At 46.6% G+C, this 23055-nt stretch overlaps 5 annotated features.

The window, feature by feature from the left end:
- Positions 5549-5648: an enhancer, noted in NCBI's record as "active region_18618". NCBI's record gives its function as "activates an Ori minimal core promoter by ATAC-STARR-seq in GM12878 lymphoblastoid cells {active_cell/tissue: GM12878}" and the evidence as "EXISTENCE:reporter gene assay evidence [ECO:0000049][PMID:35858748]".
- Positions 5869-5928: an enhancer, noted in NCBI's record as "active region_18619". NCBI's record gives its function as "activates an Ori minimal core promoter by ATAC-STARR-seq in GM12878 lymphoblastoid cells {active_cell/tissue: GM12878}" and the evidence as "EXISTENCE:reporter gene assay evidence [ECO:0000049][PMID:35858748]".
- Positions 6977-7036: a silencer, noted in NCBI's record as "silent region_13436". NCBI's record gives its function as "represses an Ori minimal core promoter by ATAC-STARR-seq in GM12878 lymphoblastoid cells {active_cell/tissue: GM12878}" and the evidence as "EXISTENCE:reporter gene assay evidence [ECO:0000049][PMID:35858748]".
- Positions 8719-9220: an enhancer, noted in NCBI's record as "NANOG hESC enhancer chr22:17764354-17764855 (GRCh37/hg19 assembly coordinates)". NCBI's record gives its function as "activates a minimal SCP1, AML or CMV promoter by ChIP-STARR-seq in naive H9 embryonic stem cells {active_cell/tissue: H9 hESC(naive)}" and the evidence as "EXISTENCE:reporter gene assay evidence [ECO:0000049][PMID:30033119]".
- Positions 13217-13717: an enhancer, noted in NCBI's record as "H3K4me1 hESC enhancer chr22:17768852-17769352 (GRCh37/hg19 assembly coordinates)". NCBI's record gives its function as "activates a minimal SCP1, AML or CMV promoter by ChIP-STARR-seq in naive H9 embryonic stem cells {active_cell/tissue: H9 hESC(naive)}" and the evidence as "EXISTENCE:reporter gene assay evidence [ECO:0000049][PMID:30033119]".

Consider the following 23055-nt stretch of genomic DNA (forward strand, 5'->3'; position numbering starts at 1 on the left):
GGCATGAGCCACCGTGCCTGACCTCATTATTATTATTATTTCCTTTTATTATTATTATTATTTTTTTATTGAGACAGAGTATTGCCCAGGGTGGAGTGCAGTGGCACAACCTCAGCTCACTGCAACCTTCATCTCCCAGGTTCAAGTGATTCTCCTGCCTCAGCCTCCCCAGTAGCAGGGATTACAGGCATGTGCCACCACACCAAGGTAATTTTTGTATTTTTAGTAGAGACGGGGTTTCACCATATTGGCCAGACTGATCTCGAACTCCTGCCTCAAGTGATCCATCGGCCTTGGCCTCTCAAAGTGCTGGGATTACAGGAGTGAGCCACCGCGCCAGCTATTTTTTTTTTTTTTTTTTTTTGAGACGGAGTCTAGCTCTGTCGCCCAGGCTGGAGTGCAGTAGCACCATCTCAGCTCACTGCAACCTCTGCCTCCTGGGCTCAAGGGATTCTCCTGCCTCAGCCTCCAGAGTAGCTGGGATTACAGGCCAGCACCACCACGCCCAACTAATTTTTGTATTTTTAGTAGAGACGGGGTTTCACTATGTTGGCCAGGATGGTCTCCATCTCTTGACCTCATGATCCACCTGCCTCAGCCTCCCAAAGTGCTGGGATTACAGGCGTGAGCCACTCTGCCCAGCCTTTCTTCCTTTTTTTTTTTTTTTTTTTTCAAGACGGAGTCTCGCTCTGTCGCCCAGGCTGGAGTGCAGTGGTGCGATCTCAGCTCACTGCAACCTCCGCCCCCACGCCGCCCTCCCCGCCCCGCCCCGCCCCGCCCAGGTTAAAGCGCTTCTCCCGCCTCGGCCTCCTGAGTAGCTCGGATTACAGGCACCTGCCATCATGCCTAGCTAATTTTTTTTTTTTTTTTGTATTTTTGTAGCGGCGGGGTTTCACCATGTTGGCCAGGCTGGTCTCTAGCTCCTGACCTCAGGTAATCCGCCCGCCTCGGCCACCCAAAGTGCTGGGACTACAGGACTGAGTCACCGCGCCCGGCCTTATTTTGTCTTGTTTTAGAAAATAAACCAATAGGCCAGGCGCGGTGGCTCATGCCTGTAATCCCAGCACTTTGGGAGGCCGAGGCGGGTGGATCACGAGGTCAGGAGCTCGAGACCAGCCTGACCAACATGGTGAAACCCCATATCTGCTAAAACTACAAAAATTAGCTGGGCATGGTGACACATGCCTGTAATCCCAGCTACTCAGGAGGTTGAGGCAGGAGAATTGCTTGAACCCGGGAGGCAGATGTTGCAGTGAGCCGAGATCATGCCACTGTACTCCAGCCTGGGTGACAAAGCGAGACTCCGTCTCAAAAAAAAAAAAAAAAAAAAAAAAAAAAAGAAAGGAAGAAAGAAAGAAGATAAACCAATACAATAATACAATAGCTGGGTGCAGTGGCGCATGCCTGTAATCCCAGGACTTTGGGAGGCCGAGATGGGTGGATCACTTGAGGTCAGGAGTTCGAGACCGGCCTGGCCAAATTGGTGAAACCCGGTCTCTACTAAAAACACAAAAATTGGCTGGGCATGGTGGCACGCGTATGTAGTCCTAGCTACTCTGGAGGCTGAGACAGGAGAATCACTTGAACCCCAGAGGAGGAGATTGCAGTGAGCCGAGACATGCAACTGCTCTCTAGCCTGGATGACAGAGCGAATTCCGTCTCAAAAAAGAAAAGAGAAGAGGGGAGGGGAGGGGAGGAGAAGGGAGGGGAGAAAAGAAGAGAAGAGAAAAGAAAAGAAACCAGTAGTCTACCAGGCACAGCAGCTCATGCTTGTAATCCCAGCACTTTGGGAGGCTGAGGCGGGAAGATCACGAGGTCAGGAGTTTGAGACCAGCCTGGCCAACATGGTGAAACCTCATGTCTACTAAAAATACAAAAATTAGGCAGGCATGGTGGCATGCACCTGTAATTCCCACTACTCAGGAGGCTGAGGCAGGAGAATAGCTTGAACCTAGGAGGTGGAGGTTGAAGTGAGCCGAGATGGTGCCACTGCACTCCAGTCTGGGACAGAGTGAGACTCTGTCTCAAAGAAAAAAAAGAAAAGAAAAGAAAAGAAACCGATAGTCAAAACCTTCTGATAATTTTTAAAGATTTGACCATTAATTTTTTTTTTTTTTTTTTGAGACAGAGTCTCACTCCGTTGCCCAGCCTGGAGTGCAGTGCCATGATCTTGGCTCACTGCAACCTCCACCTCCTGGGTTCAAGCGATTCTCCTGCCTTAGCCTCCAGAGTAGCTGGGATTACAGGTATGCACCATCACGCTTGGCTAATTTTTTCTTTTTCTTTTTTTTTTTTTTGAGACAGAATCTCTCTGTGTCACCAGGCTGGAGTGCAGTGGCTCAATCTCGGCTCACTGCAACCTCTGCTTCCTGATTCAAGCAATTCTCCTGCCTCCGCCTCCCCAGTAGCTGGGACTACAGGCACATGCCACCACGCCCAGTTAATTTTTGTATTTTTAGTAGAGACAGGATTTCACCATATTGGCCAGGCTTATCTCAAACTCCCGACCTCAGGTGATCTGCCCGCTTTGGCCTCCCAAAGTGTTGGGATTACAGGCATGAGCCACCGCGCCCGGCCGCTCAGCTAATTTTTGTAGTTTTAGTAGAGACCGGCTTTCACCATGTTGGCGGGGCTGGTCTCAAACTCCTGACCTCTGGTGATCCACCCGCCTCAGCCTCCCAAAATGCTGGGATGATAGGCATGAGCCACCTTGCCTGATCTTGACCGTTAATATTGAACTGGATTTAAAATACCTTTTGTGGCCAGGTACTCATGCCTGTCATCCCAGCACTTTGGGAGGCCAAGGAAGGAGGATTGCTTGAGCCTAGGAGTTCAAGACCACTCTGGACAATAGAGTGAGAACTTGCCTCTACAAAGAAAAAAGAAAAGGCTAGTGTGGTGGAGCAAGCCCATTGTCCCAGCTACTCAGGAGGCTGAAGTGTGAGGATCACCTGAGCCTGGGAGGTTGAGACTGCAGTAAGCCATGATCACCACTGCCTTCCGGCCTAGGCAACAGAGAGAGACCCTGTGTCTAATATATATAGGGGGCTTAGGGAGAAAGAAAGTATTTGCTTTGCTTTCAGGATGTTTGTGTTATATCCCATTCCCAGGCCGAGCACCATCAGGGGAGGGGAGGGACTGGAAGAAAGAAGGCACTGTTTAGAGAATGCTTTTCAGAGAAACCCCAAATGTATTTTTATTTGTTTTAATTATTCAAAACAAGAGTGCACTGTGGGCTGGGCGCGGTGGCTTACGCCTGTAATCCCAGCAATTTGGGAGGCTGAAGCAGGTGGATCACCTGAGGCCAGGAGTTCGAGACCAGCCTGGCCAACATGGTGATTTTATATATATATGTATATATACATATCCTTTGGGAAAATATTAATTTAAAAACCACAATGCACTCTTTTTTTTTTTTTCTTGAGACGGAGTCTCACTCTGTCGCCCAGGCTGGAGTGCAATGGCGTGATCTCAGCTCACTGCAATCTCTGCCTCTTGGGTTCAAGTGATTCTCCTGCCTCAGCCTCCCAAGTAGCTGGAAGTACAGGTGCCCACCACCATGCCAGGCTGATTTTTTTTTTTTTAATTTTTAGTAGAGACAAGGTTTCACTATGTTGGCCAGGCAGGTCTGGAACTCCTAACCTCATGATCGGCCTGCTTGGCTTCCCAAAGTGCTGGGATTACAGGCGTGAGCCACTGCACCCGGCCCGGCCCTTTTTTGTTTTTTTGAGACAGAGTCTCGCTCTGTCACCAAGGCTGGAGTGCAGTGGCGCAATCTTGGCTCACTGTAGCTTCCACCTTCTGGGTTCAAACAATTCTTCTGCCTCAGTAGGAGGCAGGAGATCCTGAGTAGCTGGGATTATAGGCATGTGCCACCACACCCGGCTGATTTCTGTATTTTTAATGGAAATGGGTTTCACCTTGTTGGCCAGGTTGTTCTCAAACCCGTGACCTCAGGTGACCCGCCCGCCTCGGCCTTCCAAAGGGGTGGGATTGCAGGCTTCAGCCACCAAGCCCAGTCTTACTCTGCTTTCTTTCTTTCTTTTTTTTTTTTTTGAGATGGAGTTTTGCTCTCGTTGCCCAGGCTGGAGTGCAATGGCACGATCTTGGCTCACTGCAACCTCCACCTCCTGGGTTCAAGCAATTCTTCTGCCTCAGCCTCCTGAGTAGCTGGGATTACAGGCACGCGCCACCACGCCCGGCTAATTTTGTATTTTTAGTAGAGACAGGAGTTTCTCCATGTTGGTCACGCTGGTCTCGAACTTGCAACCTCAGGTGATCCGCCTGCCTCAGCCTCCTAAAGTGCTGGGATTACAGACGTGACCCACTGCGCCTGGCTTACTCTGCTTTCTTTAGCTCCTTTCCCTTCCCTTGCTCTTTGCACTGGTCCTGAGGAAATTTTCCGGAATGGAGGCTGCTTACGCTGTAGCATTTTTCCTAACTGACCTCCTTTATGGCTTCCCTAGGCCGTCAGTTAAATCATCACTCCATCAGAAGCCAGTTTTCCCAAACAGCTTCTTTTTCTACTGACACTTCTCTTTGAGAACCCTTCTTTTTCTCCTTTTTTCCTTCCTGCAACTCCAGGCCTCTCCCTTTGCCTTCCCTGTCCCTTGTTCTCTCCATCATCCTCCCTGAGGACATCAGCTCTGGGAACCTTCCCTTTCTCTCCATCATCCTCCCTGAGGACATCAGCTCTGGGAACCTTCCCACAAGCGTAGTATTTGTAGTATTCCTGTTTCTAACACTCACTTTACATTCCATGATTCGTTTCTGAGCACATGAAAGTAGCAATCCAAGGCAGTACAGTCTCATTTTAAAGGAAAGATGGGGATGGATTTCTCCAGCAGTCCTTGTCCTCATGGTTGCAAAAAGAATCAGCATTGTTTGGAAAAGAGCAGATTGCCAACCCCCCCACTCCTCCTCTCATACCATCAGGCCACTTCTGGCCGGGCACGGTGGCTCACATCTGTCACATCTGTAATCCTAGCACTTTTGGAAGCTGAAGTGGGAGGACCAATTGAGGCCAGGAGTTTGAGACCAGCCCTGGCAACATGGTGAAACCTTGTCTCTACTAAAAATACAAAAATCAGCTGGTCATGGTGGCGTTTGTCTGTGATCCCAGCTACCAGGGAGGCCGAGGTGGGAGGATAGCTTGAGCCTGGGAGGTTGAGGCTGCAGTGAGCCATAATTGTACTCCACCCTGGGTGACAGAGTGAGACCCTGTATCAAAACAAACAAACAAACAAAAACCCCCACTTCCTTTTTTTTTTTTTTTTTTGAGACAGTCTCGCTCTGTCTCCCAGGCTGGAGTGCAGTGGCATGGAGAAGGACCCAGGAAATGGAAGAAAGAAAAAAAGAAAACTCTTCTTTGTCCGGGTGCAGTGGCTCACGCCTGTAATCCTAGCACTTTGGGAGGCCGAGGCGGGTGGATCACCTGAGGTCAGGAGTTCGAGACCAGCCTGGCCAACATGATGAAACCCTGTCTCTACTAAAAAATACAAAAAATTAGCTGGGCATGGTGGTGGGCACCTGTAATTCCACTTACTCGGGAGGTTGAGGCAGGAGACTCACTTGAACCTGGGAGGCAGAGGTTGCAGTGAGCTGAGATCATGCCACTGCACTCCAGCCTAGGGGACAAAAGGGAAACTCCGTTTCAAAAAAAAAAAAAAATCTTCTTCAATGGAATTTTTTTTTTAAGAAACTTGGTTTCATTTTCCATTAAGGTGAAAGCTAACATCTGGGTTCAATTCAGTTCTTAACCTACACATTCTTGCTTTCTTTCTGTCTTGCCTGCTGTTTTGAGGTGTTTTAGACATTGATGAGTTTAAGTGCAAGGTGCAATGTAGACACATGTTGGCTAAGTTTGGGTTGCTTATTACTAAAAAGATTTTCTTTTCATGTCTTAAAAGTTTTGCTTCTTCTCTACCCTCACTGTTATTTTTACAGCATGTATTCTAGCTCCTAAGCAATCAAAACATGTAGTGCTTCAGAAAGGAGGGAAAGTCATGTGTGGTCTGAATCGTAACACCAGAAGGAGAATTGGCATTTGTGCATCCTTCCCCATGGTGCCAGTCAGAGATGTTGGCTGAAAGCAATACCATCAACTGTGGGTAACTCGAGCAGAGAAGGAATTGACAAAAAGGTAATTTCCAGGAAGCCTGGAGAACCAGGCTTGGACAGAACCAGGCTTGGACAACAGGCTAAACACCAAGGCTGTCCAGGCACACAGGACACCAGCCAGGACCAGTGTCAGGAACAGCCTGGCTGATAAGCCCCTATGGGTACTGCCTCTAGGGACCCTTGCCTGTGTTTCTGTGCATCAGCTTTAACCATCTTTACCTTTGTGGGTCTCCCTCCAGAACTGAAGGCTTGGGAGGAGTTTCCAATGGGTAAACTGGGCTATTTGTCCATGCCCATACTACCTGGGGGAAGAGGGAATGCGTTCAGCCTTTCGTGAAGATGCAGCCCTTCCCCACACCCGGGCGTCCTCACTGAGGAAGACTCACAAATAGGATGAGGGGTTGGGGAGAGGGCAACCAAAGCAATGGCCCAAGTCCACTCTAGCCCACTTTTTCATTCCCAGTACCCACGTGCAACCCTCTTCCAGGAGGAGCTCCCAGAAGCCATGCACCTCCCTGTCCATATTGCCTGTCAGAACTTTTGGTAATTGGGATCAGTTAATCACCCGAGCCAACACTTCAGCTCTCCTCTTTCTGTTTGCCTGATGGCACAAGGAGACAACATACCAGGTGTCTCTATTCACTTCCCTTCACCATGACTCCTTGCGCAAGCACTTCCCGCTTCGGTACTGAAGCCTCAAAACCAGCTGAGAACAGATTCGTGAAGACAGGAAGCAAAAAACTCGAATGGATCATTCAGTATAACTTTATCCACTTCCACCTCCCGCTTCTTAGCTCTGTGTATTCTGGCTATGGGAGGGGCCAAACCTTGTGTTCTTTACTGATTCAGAGCATACACTACATCCTGCCACCTAGCACGCCAATCTCTGAAAGTGTTATCATTGTGTCTTTGGAAACTCATGCCATGTCACTGTTCTATGACTTCTGGATAATGGGGTATGTGACGAGATGATTGAAACCCATGACAGTAAGTCCATTGCCTGCTTCTTCTTTTCTTTTTTTTCTTTTTTTTTTTTTTTTTGATACAGAGTCTCGAAGGCTCTGTTGCCCAGACTGGAGTGCAGTGGTGCGATCTCAACTCATTGCAACCTCCAGCTCCCGGGGTTCACGCCATTCTCCTGCCTCAGCCTTCTGAGTAGCTGAGACTACAGGCACGTGCCACCACGCCCAGCTAATTTTTGTATTTTTAGTAGAGACAGGGTTTTGCCATGTTGGCCAAGCTGGTCTTGAACTCCTGACCTCAGGTGACCTGCCCGCCTTGGCCTCCCAAAGTGCTAGGATTACAGGTGTGAGCCACTGCGCCCGGCCATTGCCTGCTTTTTTCACTGTAAAATAATGTTTGTAAGACACCTTGGTGATCTTTAAGGCACTCTTTTTTTTTTGGTGGGGGGGGACGGGGTCTGCTCTGTCACCCAGAGTAGAGTGCGGTGGCACAATCACGGCTCAATGCAGCCTCCAACTCCTGAACTCAGGTGATCCTTCCACCTCAGCCTCTTGAGTAGCTGGAACTACAAGCACACACCACAGTGCCTGGCTAATTTTCTTTTTTTTTTTTTTTTGTATTTTTTTTTAGTAGAGATGGGGTTTCACCATGTTAGCCAGGATGGTCTTGATCTCCTGACCTCGTGATCCCCCCGCTTCGGCCTCCCAAAGTGCTGGGATTACAGGCGTGAGCCACCACGCCCAGCCCCTAATTTTCAAATTTTTAATAAAGACAGGATCTCACTATGTTGTCCAGGCTGGTCTTGAATTCCTGGCCTGAAGCAATCCTCCTGCCTTGGCTTCCCATAGTGGTGGGATTACAGGTGCAGTTTTGTTTGTTTGTTTTTGAGACAGAGTTTCACCCAGGCTGGAGTGCAGTGGCGCGGATCTCAACTCACTGCAACATCCGCCTCCCAGGTTCAAGCAATTCTCCTGCCTCACCCTCCTGAGTAGCTGGGATTACAGGTGCCCACCACCATGCCTGGCTAATTTTTTTATTTTTAGTAGAGACGGGGTTTCACCATGTTGGCCAGGATGGTCTCAAACTCCTGACCTCGGGTGATCCACCCACCTCGGCCTCCCAAAGTGCTGGGAATACAGGTGTGGGCCAACATGCCCAGCACAGGTGTGGGTTTTTTTTGTTGTTGTTTTGTTGTTTTTGTTTTTGTTTTTTGAGACAGAGTCTCACTCTGGAGCCCAGGCTGGAGTGTAGTGGCACAATCTCGGCTCACTGCAACCTCTGCCTCCTGGGTCCAAGCGATTCTCCTGTCTCAGCCTCCCAAATAGCTGGGATTACAGGCACCCGCCACCATGCCTGGCTAATTTTTTGTATTTTTAGTAGAGTTGAAGTTTCACCATGTTGGCCAGACTGGTCTCAAACTCCTGACCTCAGGTGATCCACCCGCCTTGGCCTCCCAAAATGCTGGGATTACAGGCGTGAGCCACCACACGCAGCCACAGGTGTGTTTTTAGTAGAGACGGTGTTTCGCCATGTTGACCAGACTGGTCTGGAATTCCTGACCTCAAGTGATCCACCTGCCTTGACCTCCCAAAGTGCTGGGATTACATGAGCCACTGCGCCCAGCCCAAGGCATTCATTAATTTCACATTTCATGTGTAGCAGAATCAAAGAAAGCAAACACAAATCCAGGTTAAGTGTCTATTCCAGTGAAGACACAGAGGCATCCCTTTCCTGGTGGGAGGGGTCTAATGTTTAATCTAAGGTGTAATGTAATAAACCTGCCACCAGGTAGCTGGCTAGTCTCCTCAATGACTAGAACCATAACAGAGACTGAGAGCCCGCATGCTGTGAATTAGGCTCACAACAGTGGCGGTCGTCAGGTCCACTTTGATAAGAGAAGGTTTGTGTTGTTGACAAAGCACAAGATCTCTATTCCTGCCACTATGACCTTTTGCACAAGGCCTGGGGTGTTGGAGAAGGAGGCCCCTGACATCCGCAGGGCAGGTCATCTCACCCACTCACCTTTTATGAAGTGGAGGTCTTTTGATAAGAATTCATATGGGACACAAACATACGACCCAGAAACGTCTACCTCCCGTGGTTATTGAGAAGCATCAGTGAGCCAATATATCGGACATGTATGCCACACAATTTGTTTTCAATAACTGACAGTTACTTTTTTTTCTCTGAGAGGGACTCTCGCTCTGTTGCCCAGGCTGGAGTGCAGTGGTGTGATCACGGCTCACTGCAAGCTCCGCCTCCCAGGTTCACACCATTCTCCTGCTTCAGCCTCCCCAGCAGCTGGGACTATAGGCACCTGCCACCACACCTGGCTACTTTTTTTGTATTTTTAGTAAAGACAGGGTTTGACCGTGTTAGCCAGGATGGTCTCGATCTCCCGACCTAGTGATCCACCTGCCTCAGCCTCCCAAAGTGCTGGGATTACAGGCGTGAGCCACCGCGCCCGGCCGACAGTTACTAAATAACACAGTATGTGCAATGTAAAAATATAACCTAAAATCACATTGAAAAAAACACAATAAAGAGAAAATATAAAGTATACCATTTGTACAGTGCATAAAGCAACACTGAAAACAGGCCCTGGCACCCAAAGAAACCGTGTTTATTTTCTAAGAAAGACTTTATTGACTTTGGTCAAATTCAATACTAGTTACTCTAATCAGGAAAAAAAAAGATGGTATTTTTATTTAAAATCAAAGTTACAATGTCAGGTTCAGTTGCTGTAGTTGCCTAGAACTTTATGGATACCTGGTATTTATGGGTCTGCGTACCTTGGATTGAAGTGGATTCATGTGACACAGAAAACCACAGAAGGGAAAGTATTTACAGTTTTTTTTGTAAAGGGAAGTGTTTTGTAAGTTAATGCTTTACTTTTATGTGACTTTCTCCCCCTAATGATCTAAAACTGCATGGTAGGCAACTGTGGTCACCACTTCGCAAAATGGGCCATAAATTTCATTAATAATCCAATTGATATTATGTGGGTCCAGGGTAGGAAAAAAGATTGCTCCAGGTTTTGTGGAGCTACCATCCCATGTGGATGAAACAGCGTATTGCTGACAGAGGCACACGTACGGAGCCACAGGGTAAAACACAGAGCTGCAAGACGCCCATGTTACATGATGGGTGAGCATCTGTAGTTTCCTTCCTCTTAGTCCCTGTGGAAACAGCCTCGATCCAGAAGGAGAAGGACTGCTCTTGGTGCATGGGTGGGTGAAGGCTGAACTCTGAGGAAGCAGCTGAGGCTTGAAGGAGAGGCTCTGCGGCCAGGGCGCACGCAGGAAATGAAGGGACTCAGATAGGATGAAGGGTTTCAGGTGACTTTTCATGTTGAGCACAGAGCTGGTCAAGAAAACTACAAATCAACACTCCTAGTCTCCTAACATTACTGGGAGACCCGCCTCCTTGATATCTCATGAATCGCAGAATTTCCCAGATAAAGTAGCTCATTTAATTATCCTCTTTGCTGCTATCACTAAACCAGTTCATTTTCCCACAGTTTCCTAGTCTTATCACAGATAGTAGAGATGGAAAACCTAAATTACACTCTAATGGATGAAATGTCAGTTCGAAAATCCCATGATTTGCAGCACTTTTCTCTAGCATTACAGAATTTCCCCTACAAAGCTTCACAGCCATCAGACTTTCATCTTAACTCTGGCTTGACACTTCCCTGCAGTTCCCGTTCTACCATTTCGTGTGTGTGTGTGTGTGTGTGTGTGTGTGTGTGCACGCTATTGCAAATGCCTTGGTTGTCCAAGATTTGTATGTTTCACCGCCCCCCCACCATGTATGTTATTATGGTAGCAGTCACATAATTGGCTCCCAATAAACATTTACTTGCAATTTGAGAAAAATTTATGGGTGAAGATATTCAAGTGCTATTCGTTTGTTCTCTGCTTCTGGGTGACCTGCAGGGACATCCCTTGCTCTCAATGTTAATGTTCCCAGTACTTTCTGTTCAGTGTGAAAAGGATCCATGAATTGTCTCCCACACAAACCAGCCATGCAGGGCAAGATTTACTTCTAAGTGTTTCTTGTCGCCTTTGAAGTGTGATTGGAGGAGCTAGGCTTTTGTCTCCCTCCGCTGATGCCTAAACTTTAACCACTGGACATTCATTCACCTGTACTGAGTATGTCATTTTGCCTATGCCCTTTTAAAATGGCCTTTCCATGAGCAGTAAAGAATCCTAAGTGAAGAACCCAGATGACTATGTTGCCCAGGCTGGTCTTGAACTCCTGGGCACAAGCAATCCTCCTGTCTCAGCCTCCCAAAATGCTGAGATTACAGATATGAGCCACTGCGCCCAGCCTAGATTTGCTATATGTATATATATATATATTTTTTTTTTTTTTGAAAGGGAGTCTTGCTCTTGTCTCCAAGGCTGGAGTGCAGTGGTGCAATCCCAGCTCACCGCAACCTCTGCCTCCCAGGTGATTCTCTTGCCTCAGCCTCCCGAGTAGCTGGGATTACAGGTGCCTGCCACCACGCCTGGCTAATTTTTGTATTTTTTTAGTAGAGACTGAAAAATACAACATCACATTGTATTTCATCGCATTGGCCAGGCTGGTCTCAAACTCCTGACTTGAGGTGATCCGCCTGACTTGGCCTCTCAAAATGCTGGGATACAGGCGTGAGCCACCGTGTCCGGCCTAGATTTGCATTTTTGAAAGAGCTCCGTGGTGGCTGCATGGAAGATTCACCATCAAACCGGGGAGTGACTGCGCTGAGCCAGACCCTGTCTGAAGGTGGGTGGGAGCACACTGGAAAAGTCAGAGCTGTGATTAGCGCCAATGTGAAAGGATATAGAGCTGTGAGAAATCACAGAGGCAGAGACTTTGAGGACGGGAATGACCTGGGGAAAGGGCATGATGGATTCACAGGCTCCTGTGCTCACACTGTATCTGCTATGTGTTCTGGGTGCCTGAAGAGCAGATCGCAGGTGGTGGGTAGTGCATGCTCATGGAAGGAGTTGTCTGGGGTTGGTAAAGACTTGGGCGTACTTCACTGCCAAAAAGGGAGCACCGGTGGAGAGAATCTGAACATGGTTTTGAATAATGCACAGGAGCCAGGGAGGCAGAGGAGAGGAAGTGATCCCAGTGAAACAAGTATTAACAAAGTCTTTGGGACTAAAACTCTTTGGAACAAATTTATGCCTGGGTAGGGAAGTTCTGGACTCAGGCTGGCTTCATGGCACAGTCTCTGTGGAGCAGGTACTTGCAAAGTCTCAGGTATGGCCTTCTCAGCAAGTGGCAAGCTGGACACCTAGGTCCTACAAAGCCCTATCTACTTTTAGCCACATTTTACTTTTGCTCACTAGATCCAAAAGAGGCAAGGATGCCCTGTCCCAGGCTTGGGGGACAAAGCTGGCATCCCATGGAAGGAAAGGAGATGAGGAGATGAGAGCTGTGGCTCTCAGTGGGAAACCTCCTCCTGGAAGAGTCCTGGTAGCTCTGACCCCCATGGCCATTTGTTCTCACCTGTCTTCTAGCACCTGTCACACTGCAGTGTCATCCTTTATTTACTTAACAAATAATAATCTGCCTTCCTCAGTGCAGAAGTAGAGCTCGTCATCTCAGCTCCCTCCAGGGCTATGGCCGTGCTCAAGAAAATTGACCAAGATTGGAAATGAATGAGTGCGTGCTGCTTCCCCATCTCCAGACGCCACAGTCTGTCACCTAGCTCAAGGCGCTAACTAATAACTGGGAGCCCACCTGGACTCTTACCTCCCTCCCTGCTGTTTGCCACACTGGGGAGAGACCAGAGCCACCTTTCTAATGCGCAAATCCTTTCACGTCTCTCCCTGCCCCAAACCCTTCAAATGCTCACCATTGTGACTTCCAAATGACTTCCAAACTCTTTATTTATTCTTTATATTCTTTATTTTATTTTATTTCTTGAGACAGGGTCTCACTCTGTTGTTTAGGCTAGAGTGCAGTGGTGTGATCGTGACTTACCGCAGCCTCAACCTCCCAGGCTCAAGCCTCCCAACTAGCTGGGACTGCAGGCATGCGCCACCACAAATTTTTTGTTTTTATTATTTTATTTATTTATTTATCTATTTATTTTGAGACAGGGTCTTGCTCTGTCACCCAAGCTGGAGTCCAGTGGTACGATCACAGCTCACTGCAGCCTCAACCTCCTGGGTTCAAGCCATCCTCTTGCCTGAGCCTCCTGAGTAGGGGAAACTACAGGTGTGTGCCACCACCACACCCAACTAATTTTAAAATTATTTGTAGAGAGAGGGCTTCCCTGTGTTGCTCAGGCTGGTCTCAAACTCCTGGACTCAAGTGATCCTTCTGCCTTGACCTACCAAAGTGCTGGGATAAGAGGCCCCAGATGCTTTAAACTGACAGGTAAGGTCATTTGTGGTCTGGCCAACTCATGCCTGCTCCCCACCTGCAGCTCCAAACTCTGGTCCTCACAAGTGCCTTTAGCTCACCCAATGTTTCCTGCTGTCTTGATTGCCTTTAGTCCTTCACACAACGAGGCAATGTCCTTAGTTTCTCTGATCCCCATTTCACCTAGGTCATTCCTTCAGGTCTCAGCTGACTGTCTTCATCTTGCCGTCGCCAACCTCCCCAGAGAAGGCTGGATGCCCCTGTGCTGGCCCCTGCCTAGGTCATTGCGACGCGCTTTGAGCCCAGCACAACACACAGCACTCAGTGCACTGGTGAACACAGGGGTCCAGAAGAGATGAAAGGACCTAACAGCAGCCAGCAGAAAAGCAGAGGAAGGAGGAGAGAGAAAGCCTGAGAGTCAGAGAGGGGTGAAAGGGTGTGATCCTGAGTAGATGACAGGGCACAGATGGGAGCTATGAGCTGTGTGTGACACACGCTGGGTCCCTGTGGCAGATGCAAGTGATCCATCTGTAGCTTATTCTTAGGAAGTGTGAAATCAGTGTCAGGAGAGAAGGGAGCTGAAGCTAGCAACTGAAGAGTCAGCCTGGGAGAGGACGGAGAGAGAACATGCAGAGGAGAGGGAGCAAGCAGGAGGGGTTACAGGACCAGGACAAGGGCAGCAGTTTTGAGGGCAAGGAGGTCTTGAGCATCCGATAGGGCCATGGACAAGCCATGGATAGACAGAGGGAAACATCAGGGACAGGAGGGAACTCCTGGAGCAAGGCCCCAGATGGGTGGCCCCAGAGGGGCTGGGCGACCGGCACAGGTGGCAAGATTAGCTCTGGAAAGGGGTAAGGACACCCCTTCTTCCTCTGAGATAGCAGGAAGAAAGAACAAAGACACATATCATGGATGTCCCATGGAGGAAAGCTGAGGGAGTTGATACCTGACAGCCTCTACTCTGCGTGAAGTTGAAGTTTAAAGATTCAGGGAGTCTAGTTCCAGCCCTACCAGTAACTGCGTGGCCTCAGGCTATTCATGGAATCAATCTCCCCAGGCCTCAGAGTGCTCTGAAAACAACCTCATCTATCCTGGTAATTCAACAATCTGGTTTATAGACACTTCTTCGTTTCCATAAAAGCACTTAATTTGACACACAACACACATTTCAGCTAAGCTTGCTAAACCTTGAAAGGACTGCCTTCTTGTTGAAGCAGAGTGAGTTTAGGGGACAATAAAAAAAGGCCACCAAAGAAAAGAGGAGGGCACAGCAGTTTGCCAGCTTTGCCATTTGTGTCCTGGTCTTGATATTTCGAGAAGGGTTTATTCCTTGTACATGCTGGGGTTACAGGTTTGCTCTTCGTACATAAACATGTGGCATGTGTATATTGCATGCCTATGCTACATGCAGCATAAACGTTGCTTTGAATAAATGTGGTCATTTATTAATTTGCCCACAAAAATTTATTGAGCACCTGCTCTGTGCAAGGCACTGACAAGTGTTCAGGGGAGACAAAATGGATAAAAAACAGACCTGCACTCTGAAGCAACACTAGGGTATTAGAGTGCAGCTCTTCAGGAGACGTAGAATGTGAACCACACAAGTAATTTTTAAAAAATCAAGTTGTTTGTTAGAGACGGAGTCTCGCTCTGTCGTCCAGGCTGGAGTGCAGTAGCGCAATCATAGCTCACAGCAGCCTCAGACTCCTGGACTCTGTGATCCTCCCCACTCAGACTTCCTAGTAGCTGGGATGCCAGGTCTGCACCACCACACTCAGCTAATTTAAAATTTTGTTTTGTAGAGGCAGAGTCTTGCTATGTTGCCTCGTCTGGTCTCGAACTTCTGGGCTCAAGTGATCCTCCTGCCTCTGTCTCCAAAAGTGCTGACATTACAGCTATGAGCCACCACGCTCAGCTGATTTTTAAAAATTATTAAGATATGTTATGTGTGTTTATTTTTCTCCAGTAAGCCTTCAAAATCCTATGTGCATTTCATACCTACAGCACATCTCAGTTTGGACTAGCCACATTGCAAGTGGCTTGTGACTTCTGTATTGGACAACACAATTTTAAAGTGTGCCTCTAAGCGTCAAGGTTAATGTCAAAGGGACTTCTGGGCAACCTCCACCCCACTGCCTCCCTTGGCTCCAGTCAGAGGCTGGTTGAAGCAGGGCTATGCCCAGGAGGCCAGCGTTTGTTCTGAGCTGCTCGTGACCCAGGAAGGCTGGCCATTCCCCATTCCCCTGATCCTGTGCCCAGCCAGAGGCTGCTGCAACCTCTAGCTGTGCAGCCTCAACAAACGCCCAATCAAACTTCCTCCCCAGGGGAAAGAAGCAAAAAGAGCCATTGCCTTTCTTCTTGGGTCCTGCAAGCTCACACAAAGTGGTAAGGCTGTTTGTTTCTTACCTTGGAAGTTCAGTTACAAATGACTTGCAGCTGTGAGTTGTTTTCAGGCTTTCTCTGGTGCCGTTGCCCCCGACACCCTCCACCCTCACTGTTGCTGTGTTTACTCACAGTAGTGGGCATCTGAGCCTTTTTTTTTTCTTTGTCCGGCATCCTTTCTTTTGGGAAATAGCCCCATCCCATAGACCACATTTCATGTAATTCTGGCGGGGGTGTCAGTCTTAGGGGCCAGCCCCACTCCTACCATGAAGGCGGACACTTGACCCATCCCACACCAATCAGAAGGGCTTTCCCTGGAATTTAAATATGGAGCAGGAGGTCAGGAGTGATGGCTCACACCTGTAGTCCTAGCACTTTGGGAGACCAAGGCGGGAGGAGCACTTGAGCCCAGGAGTTCGAGACCAGCTCTGGGCAACATAGTGAGACCCCGTCTCTACAAAAATACAAAAATTAGCTGGATGTGGTGGCACTCGCCTGCAGTCCCAGCTGTTTGGGAGGCCGAAGTGGGAGGATTGCCTGAGCTCAGGAGGTCAAGGCTGCAGTGAGCCAAAGTCACACCACTGTACTCCAGCCTGTGTGACAAGGGGAGACCCTGTCTCTCAAAAAAAAAAAAACCTTAAAAATGAAAATAAACAAATAAATAAAGATTGAGCAGAAACAGAGGGGCTGAAGACAATGTGGGGCCAGAGCCCAAGATCCATCTAAGTTGAGGCCTGTCCTTTTAAAGCCTGGTCGCTGAACTCTGCCTTTGATTCTACGAGCCCTCCTTCCTGTGCTCCCTCCTTTGCCCTCCTCCTTCCCAGTCAAGTTAGCCAGAATCCATTCCGGTTGCTTATAATAGAAGAATCCTGATAACAAATTTTTTTTTTTTTTGAGACTGACTTTCACTCCTGTTGCCCAGGCTAGAGTGCAATGGCACAATCTCGGCTCACTGCAACCTCCACCTCCCAGGTTCAAGTGATTCTCCTGCCTCAGCCTCCCCAGTAGCTGGGATTACAGGTGTGCACCACCACACCCAGCTACTTTTTGTATTTTTATTAGAGATGGGGTTTCACCATGTTGGCCAGGCTGGTCTCGATCTCCTGACCTCAGATGATCTGCCCGCCTTGGCGTGTCAAAGTGCTGGGATTATAGGTGAGAGCTACCACTACCCGGACCTGGTAACAAAATTTTAATCTCAGTTTTACCAAAGAGAAAAAAGATACAGCAGTTAAATATATATATGAATATGGATATTACATTTATAATTTCTCTCTTTTTTTTAATTTCTCTCTCTCTTTTTTTTTTTTAGACAAGAGTCTCGCTCTGTCGCCCAGGCTGGAATGCAATGGCACGATCTTGGCTCACTACAACCTCCGCCTCCCGGGTTCAAGCAATTCTCCTGCCTCAGCCTCCTGAGTAGCTGGGACTACAGGCGAGCGCCACCACACCCAACTAATTTTTGTACTTTTAGTAGAGACCGGGTTTCACCATGTTGGCCAGAATGGTCTCCATCTCTTGACCTCATGATCCACCCGCCTCGGCCTCCCAAAATGCTGGGATTACAGGCATGAGCCACCGCACCCGCCCTAGTTTTTTTTTTTTTTTTTTGAGACGGAGTCTCACTCTGTCGCCCAGGCTGGAGTGCAGTGGCGCGATCTCGGCTCACTTCAAGCTCCACCTCCCGGGTTCACACCATTCTCCTGCCTCAGCCTCCGAGTAGCTGGGACTACAGGCATTCGCCACCACGCCCAACTAATTTTTTGTAGTTTTAGTAGAGACGGGGTTTCACCGTGTTAGCCAGGATGTCTCAATCTCCTGACCTGGTGATCCACCTGCCTCGGCCTCCCAAAATGCTGGGATTACAGGCATGAGCCACTGCACCTGGCCTTTTTTTTTTTTTTTTTTTTTTTTTTTTAATAAACAAGGAGCATTAGAAGTTTCCTATGCCTTACCATACTCTGAAGTCAGTATGTGTCCAGGTAAGATCACATCACCCGCCACCTCTGGCTCAGCAGCCAAGTGGCCAGCAGGATCCAGGAAAGAAGCAGGCAAACTTTTCTCTTGGCTGCTAAAGGAGAGGCTGCCCCTCGGGTAACTTCTTATGAGGCCAGCAGTGAGTTGCCCTTTTCCTCCTATTGAGGGACTGGATTTTGAATACTTCAGCACGGTGGCTCATGCTTATAATCCCAGCACTTTGGGAGGCCAAGGCAGGTGGATCGCTTGAGTCCAGGAATGGGAGGCCAGCCTGGGCAATGTGGCAAAACATTGTCTCTGCAATGGGCATGGTGGCCCACACATCTGTAGTCCCACCTACCTGGGTGGCTGAGGCAGGAGGATCGCTTGAGTCAGGGGGGTTGAGGCTGCAGTGAGCCATGATCACACCATTGCACTCCAGCCTGGGAGACAGAGCGAGATCCCATCTCAAAAAAAAAAAAATTGGTCTGTGATATTTTGATCAACTATGTAAAAACCAAAAAATAAGAGAATATTCTTCTGAAGTGTGATAATACATGACATCACAGCAGCTAACAATATAGGGGACAAGATCACTTGGCTTACAATGATTTTCACACAGAAAACCAGAAAGTAGTTTGAATCTTAAGGAAGAGAGCTGCATTTTAAAGTTTAACAGCAAGTTGGGGGTCAGGAGACCTGATTTTTTCCCCAGTTTGTGTGCTGCCACTTTACCAGTAGCGAGTCCTTGGGGATGCTACTAAAACTTTTTTTTTTTAATTATACTTTAAGTTCTAGGATACATGTGCACAACGTGCAGGTTTGTTACATATGTATACATGTGACATGTTGGTTTGATGCACCCATTAACTCGTCATTTACATTACCTATTTCTCCTAATGCTAACCCTCCCCCCAACCCCCCACCCCACAACAGGCCCTGGTGTGTGATGTTCCCCGCCCTGTGTCCAAGTGTTCTCATTGTTCAATTCCCACCTATGAGTGAGAACATGCGGTGTGTGGTTTTCTGTTCTTGTGACAGTTTGCTGAGAATGATGGTTTCCAGCTTTATCCATGTCCCTACAAAGGATATTAACTCATCTTTTTTTACGGCTGCATAGTATTCCGTGGTGTATATGTGCCACATTTTCTTAATCCAGTCTATCATTGGTGGACATTTGGGTTGGTTCCAAGTCTTTGCTATTGTGAATAGTGCCGCAATAAACATACGTGTGCATGTGTCTTTATAGCAGCATGATTTATAATCCTTTGGGTATATACCCAGTAATGGGATGGCTGGATCAAATGGTATTTCTAGTTCTAGATCCTTGAGGAATCGCCACACTGTCTTCCACAATGGTTGAACTAGTTTACAGTCCCACCAACAGTGTAAAAGTGTTCCTATTTCTCCACATCCTCTCCAGCACCTGTTGTTTCCTGACTTTTTAATGATCATCATTCTAACTGGTGTGAGATGGTATCTCACTGTAGTTTTGATTTGCATTTCTCTGATGACCAGTGATGATGAACATTTTTTCATGTGTCTTTTGGCTGCATAAATGTCTTCTTTTGAGAAGTGTCTGTTCATATCCTTCGCCCACTCTTTGATGGGGTTGTTTGATTTTTTTCTTGTAAATTTGTTTAAGTTCTTTGTAGATTCTGGATATTAGCCCTTTGTCAGATGGGTAGATTGTAAAAATTTTCTCCCATTCTGTAAGTTGCCCGTTCACTCTGATGGTAGTTTCTTTTGCTGTGCAGAAGCTCTTTAGTTTAATTAGATCCCATTTGTCTATTTTGGCTTTTGTTGCCATTGCCTTTGGTGTTTTAGTCATGAAGTCCTTGCCCATGCCTGTGTCTTGAATGGTATTGCCTAGGTTTTCTTCTAGGGTTTTTACGGTTTTAGGTCTAACATTAAGTCTTTAATCCATCTTGAATTAATTTTTGTATAAGGTATAAAGAAGGGATCCAGTTTCAGCTTTCTACATGTGGCTGGCCAGTTTTCCCAGCACCATTTGTTAAATAGGGAATCCTTTCCCTATTTCTTTTTTTTGTCAGGTTTGTCAAAGGTCAGATGGTTGTAGATGTGTGGTGTTATTTCTGAGGGATCTTTTCTGTTCCATTGGTCTACATCTCTGTTTTGGTACCAGTACCATGCTGTTTTGGTTACTGTAGCCTTGCAGTATAGTTTGAAGTCAGGTAGCGTGATGCCTCCAGCTTTGTTCTTTTGGCTTAGGATTGTCTTGGCAATGCGGGCTATTTTTTGGTTCCATATGAACTTTAAAGTAGTTTTTTTTCCAGTTCTGTGAAGAAAGTCATTGGTAGCTTGATGGGGATGGCATTGAATGTATAAATTACCTTGGGCAGTATGGCCACTTTCACAATATTGATTCTTCCTATCCATGAGCATGGGATGTTCTTCCATTTGTGTGTGTCCTCTTTTATTTCGTTGAGCAGTGGTTTGTAGTTCTCCTTGAAGAGGTCCTTCACATCCCTTGTAAGTTGGGTTCCTAGGTATTTTAATCTCTTTGTAGCAATTGTGAATGGGAGTTCACTCATGATTTGGCTCTCTGTCTGTTATTGGTGTATAGGAATCCTTGTGATTTTTGCACATTGATTTTGTATCCTGAGACTTTGCTGAAGTTGCTTATCAGCTTAAGGAGATTTGGGGCTGAGACGATGGGGTTTTCTAAATATACAATCATGTCATCTGCAAACAGGGACAATTTGACTTCTTCATTTCCTAATTGAATACCCTTTATTTCTTTCTCTTGCCTGATTGCCTTGGCCATAACTTCCAACACTATGTTGAATAGGAGTGGTGAGAGAGGGCATCCCTGTCTTGTGCCAGTTTTCAAAGGGAATGCTTCCAGTTTTTGCCCATTCAGCATGATATTGGCTGTGGGTTTTTCATAAATAGCTCTTACTATTTTGAGATATGTTCCATCAATACCTAGTTTATTGAGAGTTTTTAGGATGAAGGGCTGTTGAATTTTTTCAAAGGCCTTTTCTGCGTCTATTGAGATAATCATGTGGTTTTTGTCATTGGTTCTGTTTATGTGATGGATTACGTTTATTGATTTGCATATATTGAACCAGCCTTGCATCCCAGGGATGAAGCCGACTTGATCTTGGTGGATAAGCTTTTTGATGTGCTGCTGGATTTGGTTTGCCAATATTTTATTGAGGATTTTCGCATTGATGTTCATCAGGGATATTGGTCTAAAATTCTCTTTCTTTGTTGTGTCTCTGCCAGGTTTTGGTATCAGGATGATGCTGGCCTCATAAAATGAGTTAGGGAGGATTCCCTCTTTTTCTATTGATTGTAATAGTTTCAGAAGGAATGGTACCAGCTCTTCTTTGTACCTCTGGTAGAATTTGGCTGTGAATCCATCTGGTCCTGGACTTTATTTTGGTTGGTAGGCTATGAATTATTGCCTCAATTTCAGAGCCTGTTATTCGTCTATTCAGGGATTCAACCTCTTCCTGGTTTAGTCTTGGGTGGGTATATGTGTCCAGGAATTTATCCATTTCTTCTAAATTTTCTAGTTTATTTGCATAGAGGTGTTTATAGTATTCTCTGATGGTAATTTGTATTCCTGCGGGATTGGTGGTGATATCCCCTTTATCGTTTTTTATTGTGTCTATTTGATTCTTCTCTCTTTTCTTCTTTATTAGTCTTGCTAGTGGTATATCAATTTTGTTGATCTTTTGAAAAAACCAGCTCCTGGATTCATTGATTTTTTTGAAGGGTTTTTTGTGTCTCTATCTCCTTCAGTTCTGCTCTGATCTTAGTTATTTCTTGCCTTCTGCTAGCTTTTGAATTTGTTTGCTCTTGCTTCTCTAGTTCTTTTAATTGTGATGTTAAGGTGTCGATTTTAGATCTTTCCTGCTTTCTCTTGTGGGCACTTAGTGCTATAAATTTCCCTCTACACACTGCTTTAAATGTGTCCCAGAGATTCTGGTACGTTGTGTCTTTGTTCTCATTGGTTTCAAAGAACATCTTTTCTTTTTTTTTTTTTTGAGACAGATTCTTGCTCTGTTGCCCAGGCTGGAGTGCAATGCTGTGATCTTGGCTCACTGAAACCTCCGCCTCCCAAGTTCAAGTGATTCTCCTGCCTCAGCCTCCCGAGTAGCTGGGATTACAGGCACCCACCACTATGCCCGGCTAATTTTTTTTGTATTTTTAGTAGAGACGGGGGTCTCACCATGTTGGCCAGGCTGGTCTTGAACTCCTGACCTCAGGTGATCTGCCCGTCTTAGCCTCCCAAAGTGCTGGGATTACAGGCATGAGCCACCACCCCCAGCCTCAAAGAACATCTTTATTTCTGCCTTCATTTCGTTATTTACCCAGTAGTCATTCAGGAGCAGGTTGTTCAGTTTCCATGTAGTTGTGCAGTTTTGAGTGATTTTCTTAATCCTGAGTTCTAATTTGATTGCACTGTAGTCTGAGAGACAGGTTGTTGTGATTTCTGTCCTTTTACATTTGCTGAGGAGTGCTTTACTTCCAATTATGTGGTCAGTTTTAGAATAAGTGCAATGTGGTGCTGAGAAGAATGTATATTCTGTTGATGTGGAGAGTTCTGTAGATGTCTGTTAGGTCTGCTTGGTGCAGAGCTGAATTCAAGTCCTGGATATCCTTGTTAACCTTCTGTCTTGTTGATCTGTCTAATATTGACAGTGGGGTGTTAAAGTCTCCCATTATTATTGTGTGGGATTCTAAGTCTCTTTGTAGGTCTCTAAGGACTTGCTTTATGAATCTGGGTGCTCCTGTATTAGGTGCATATATATTTAGGATAGTTAGCTCTTCTCATTGAATTGATCCCTTTACCATTGTGTAATGGCCTTCTTTGTCTCTTTTGATCTTTGTTGGTTTAAATTCTGTTTTATCAAAGACTGGGATTGCAACCCCTGCTTTTTTATGTTTTCCATTTGCTTGGTAGATCTTCCTCCATCCCTTTATTTTGGGCCTATGTGTGTCTCTGCGTGTGAGATGGGTCTCCTGAATACAGCATACTGATGAGTTTTGACTCTTTGTCCAATTTGCCAGTCTGTGTCTTTTAATTGGGGCATTTAGCTCATTTACATTTAAGGTTAATATTGTTGTGTGTGAATTTGATCCTGTCATTATGATGTCAGCTGGTTATTTTTCCTGTTAGTTGATACAGTTTCTTCCTAGCATCGATGATCTTTACAATTTGGCATCTTTTTGCAGTGGCTGGTACCAGTCATTCCTTTCCATGTTTAGTGCTTCCTTCAGGAGCTGTTGTAAGGC

This window comes from Homo sapiens, chromosome 22 (assembly GCF_000001405.40).
Source record: "Homo sapiens chromosome 22, GRCh38.p14 Primary Assembly".
Classification (NCBI taxonomy): Eukaryota; Metazoa; Chordata; class Mammalia; order Primates; family Hominidae; genus Homo; species Homo sapiens.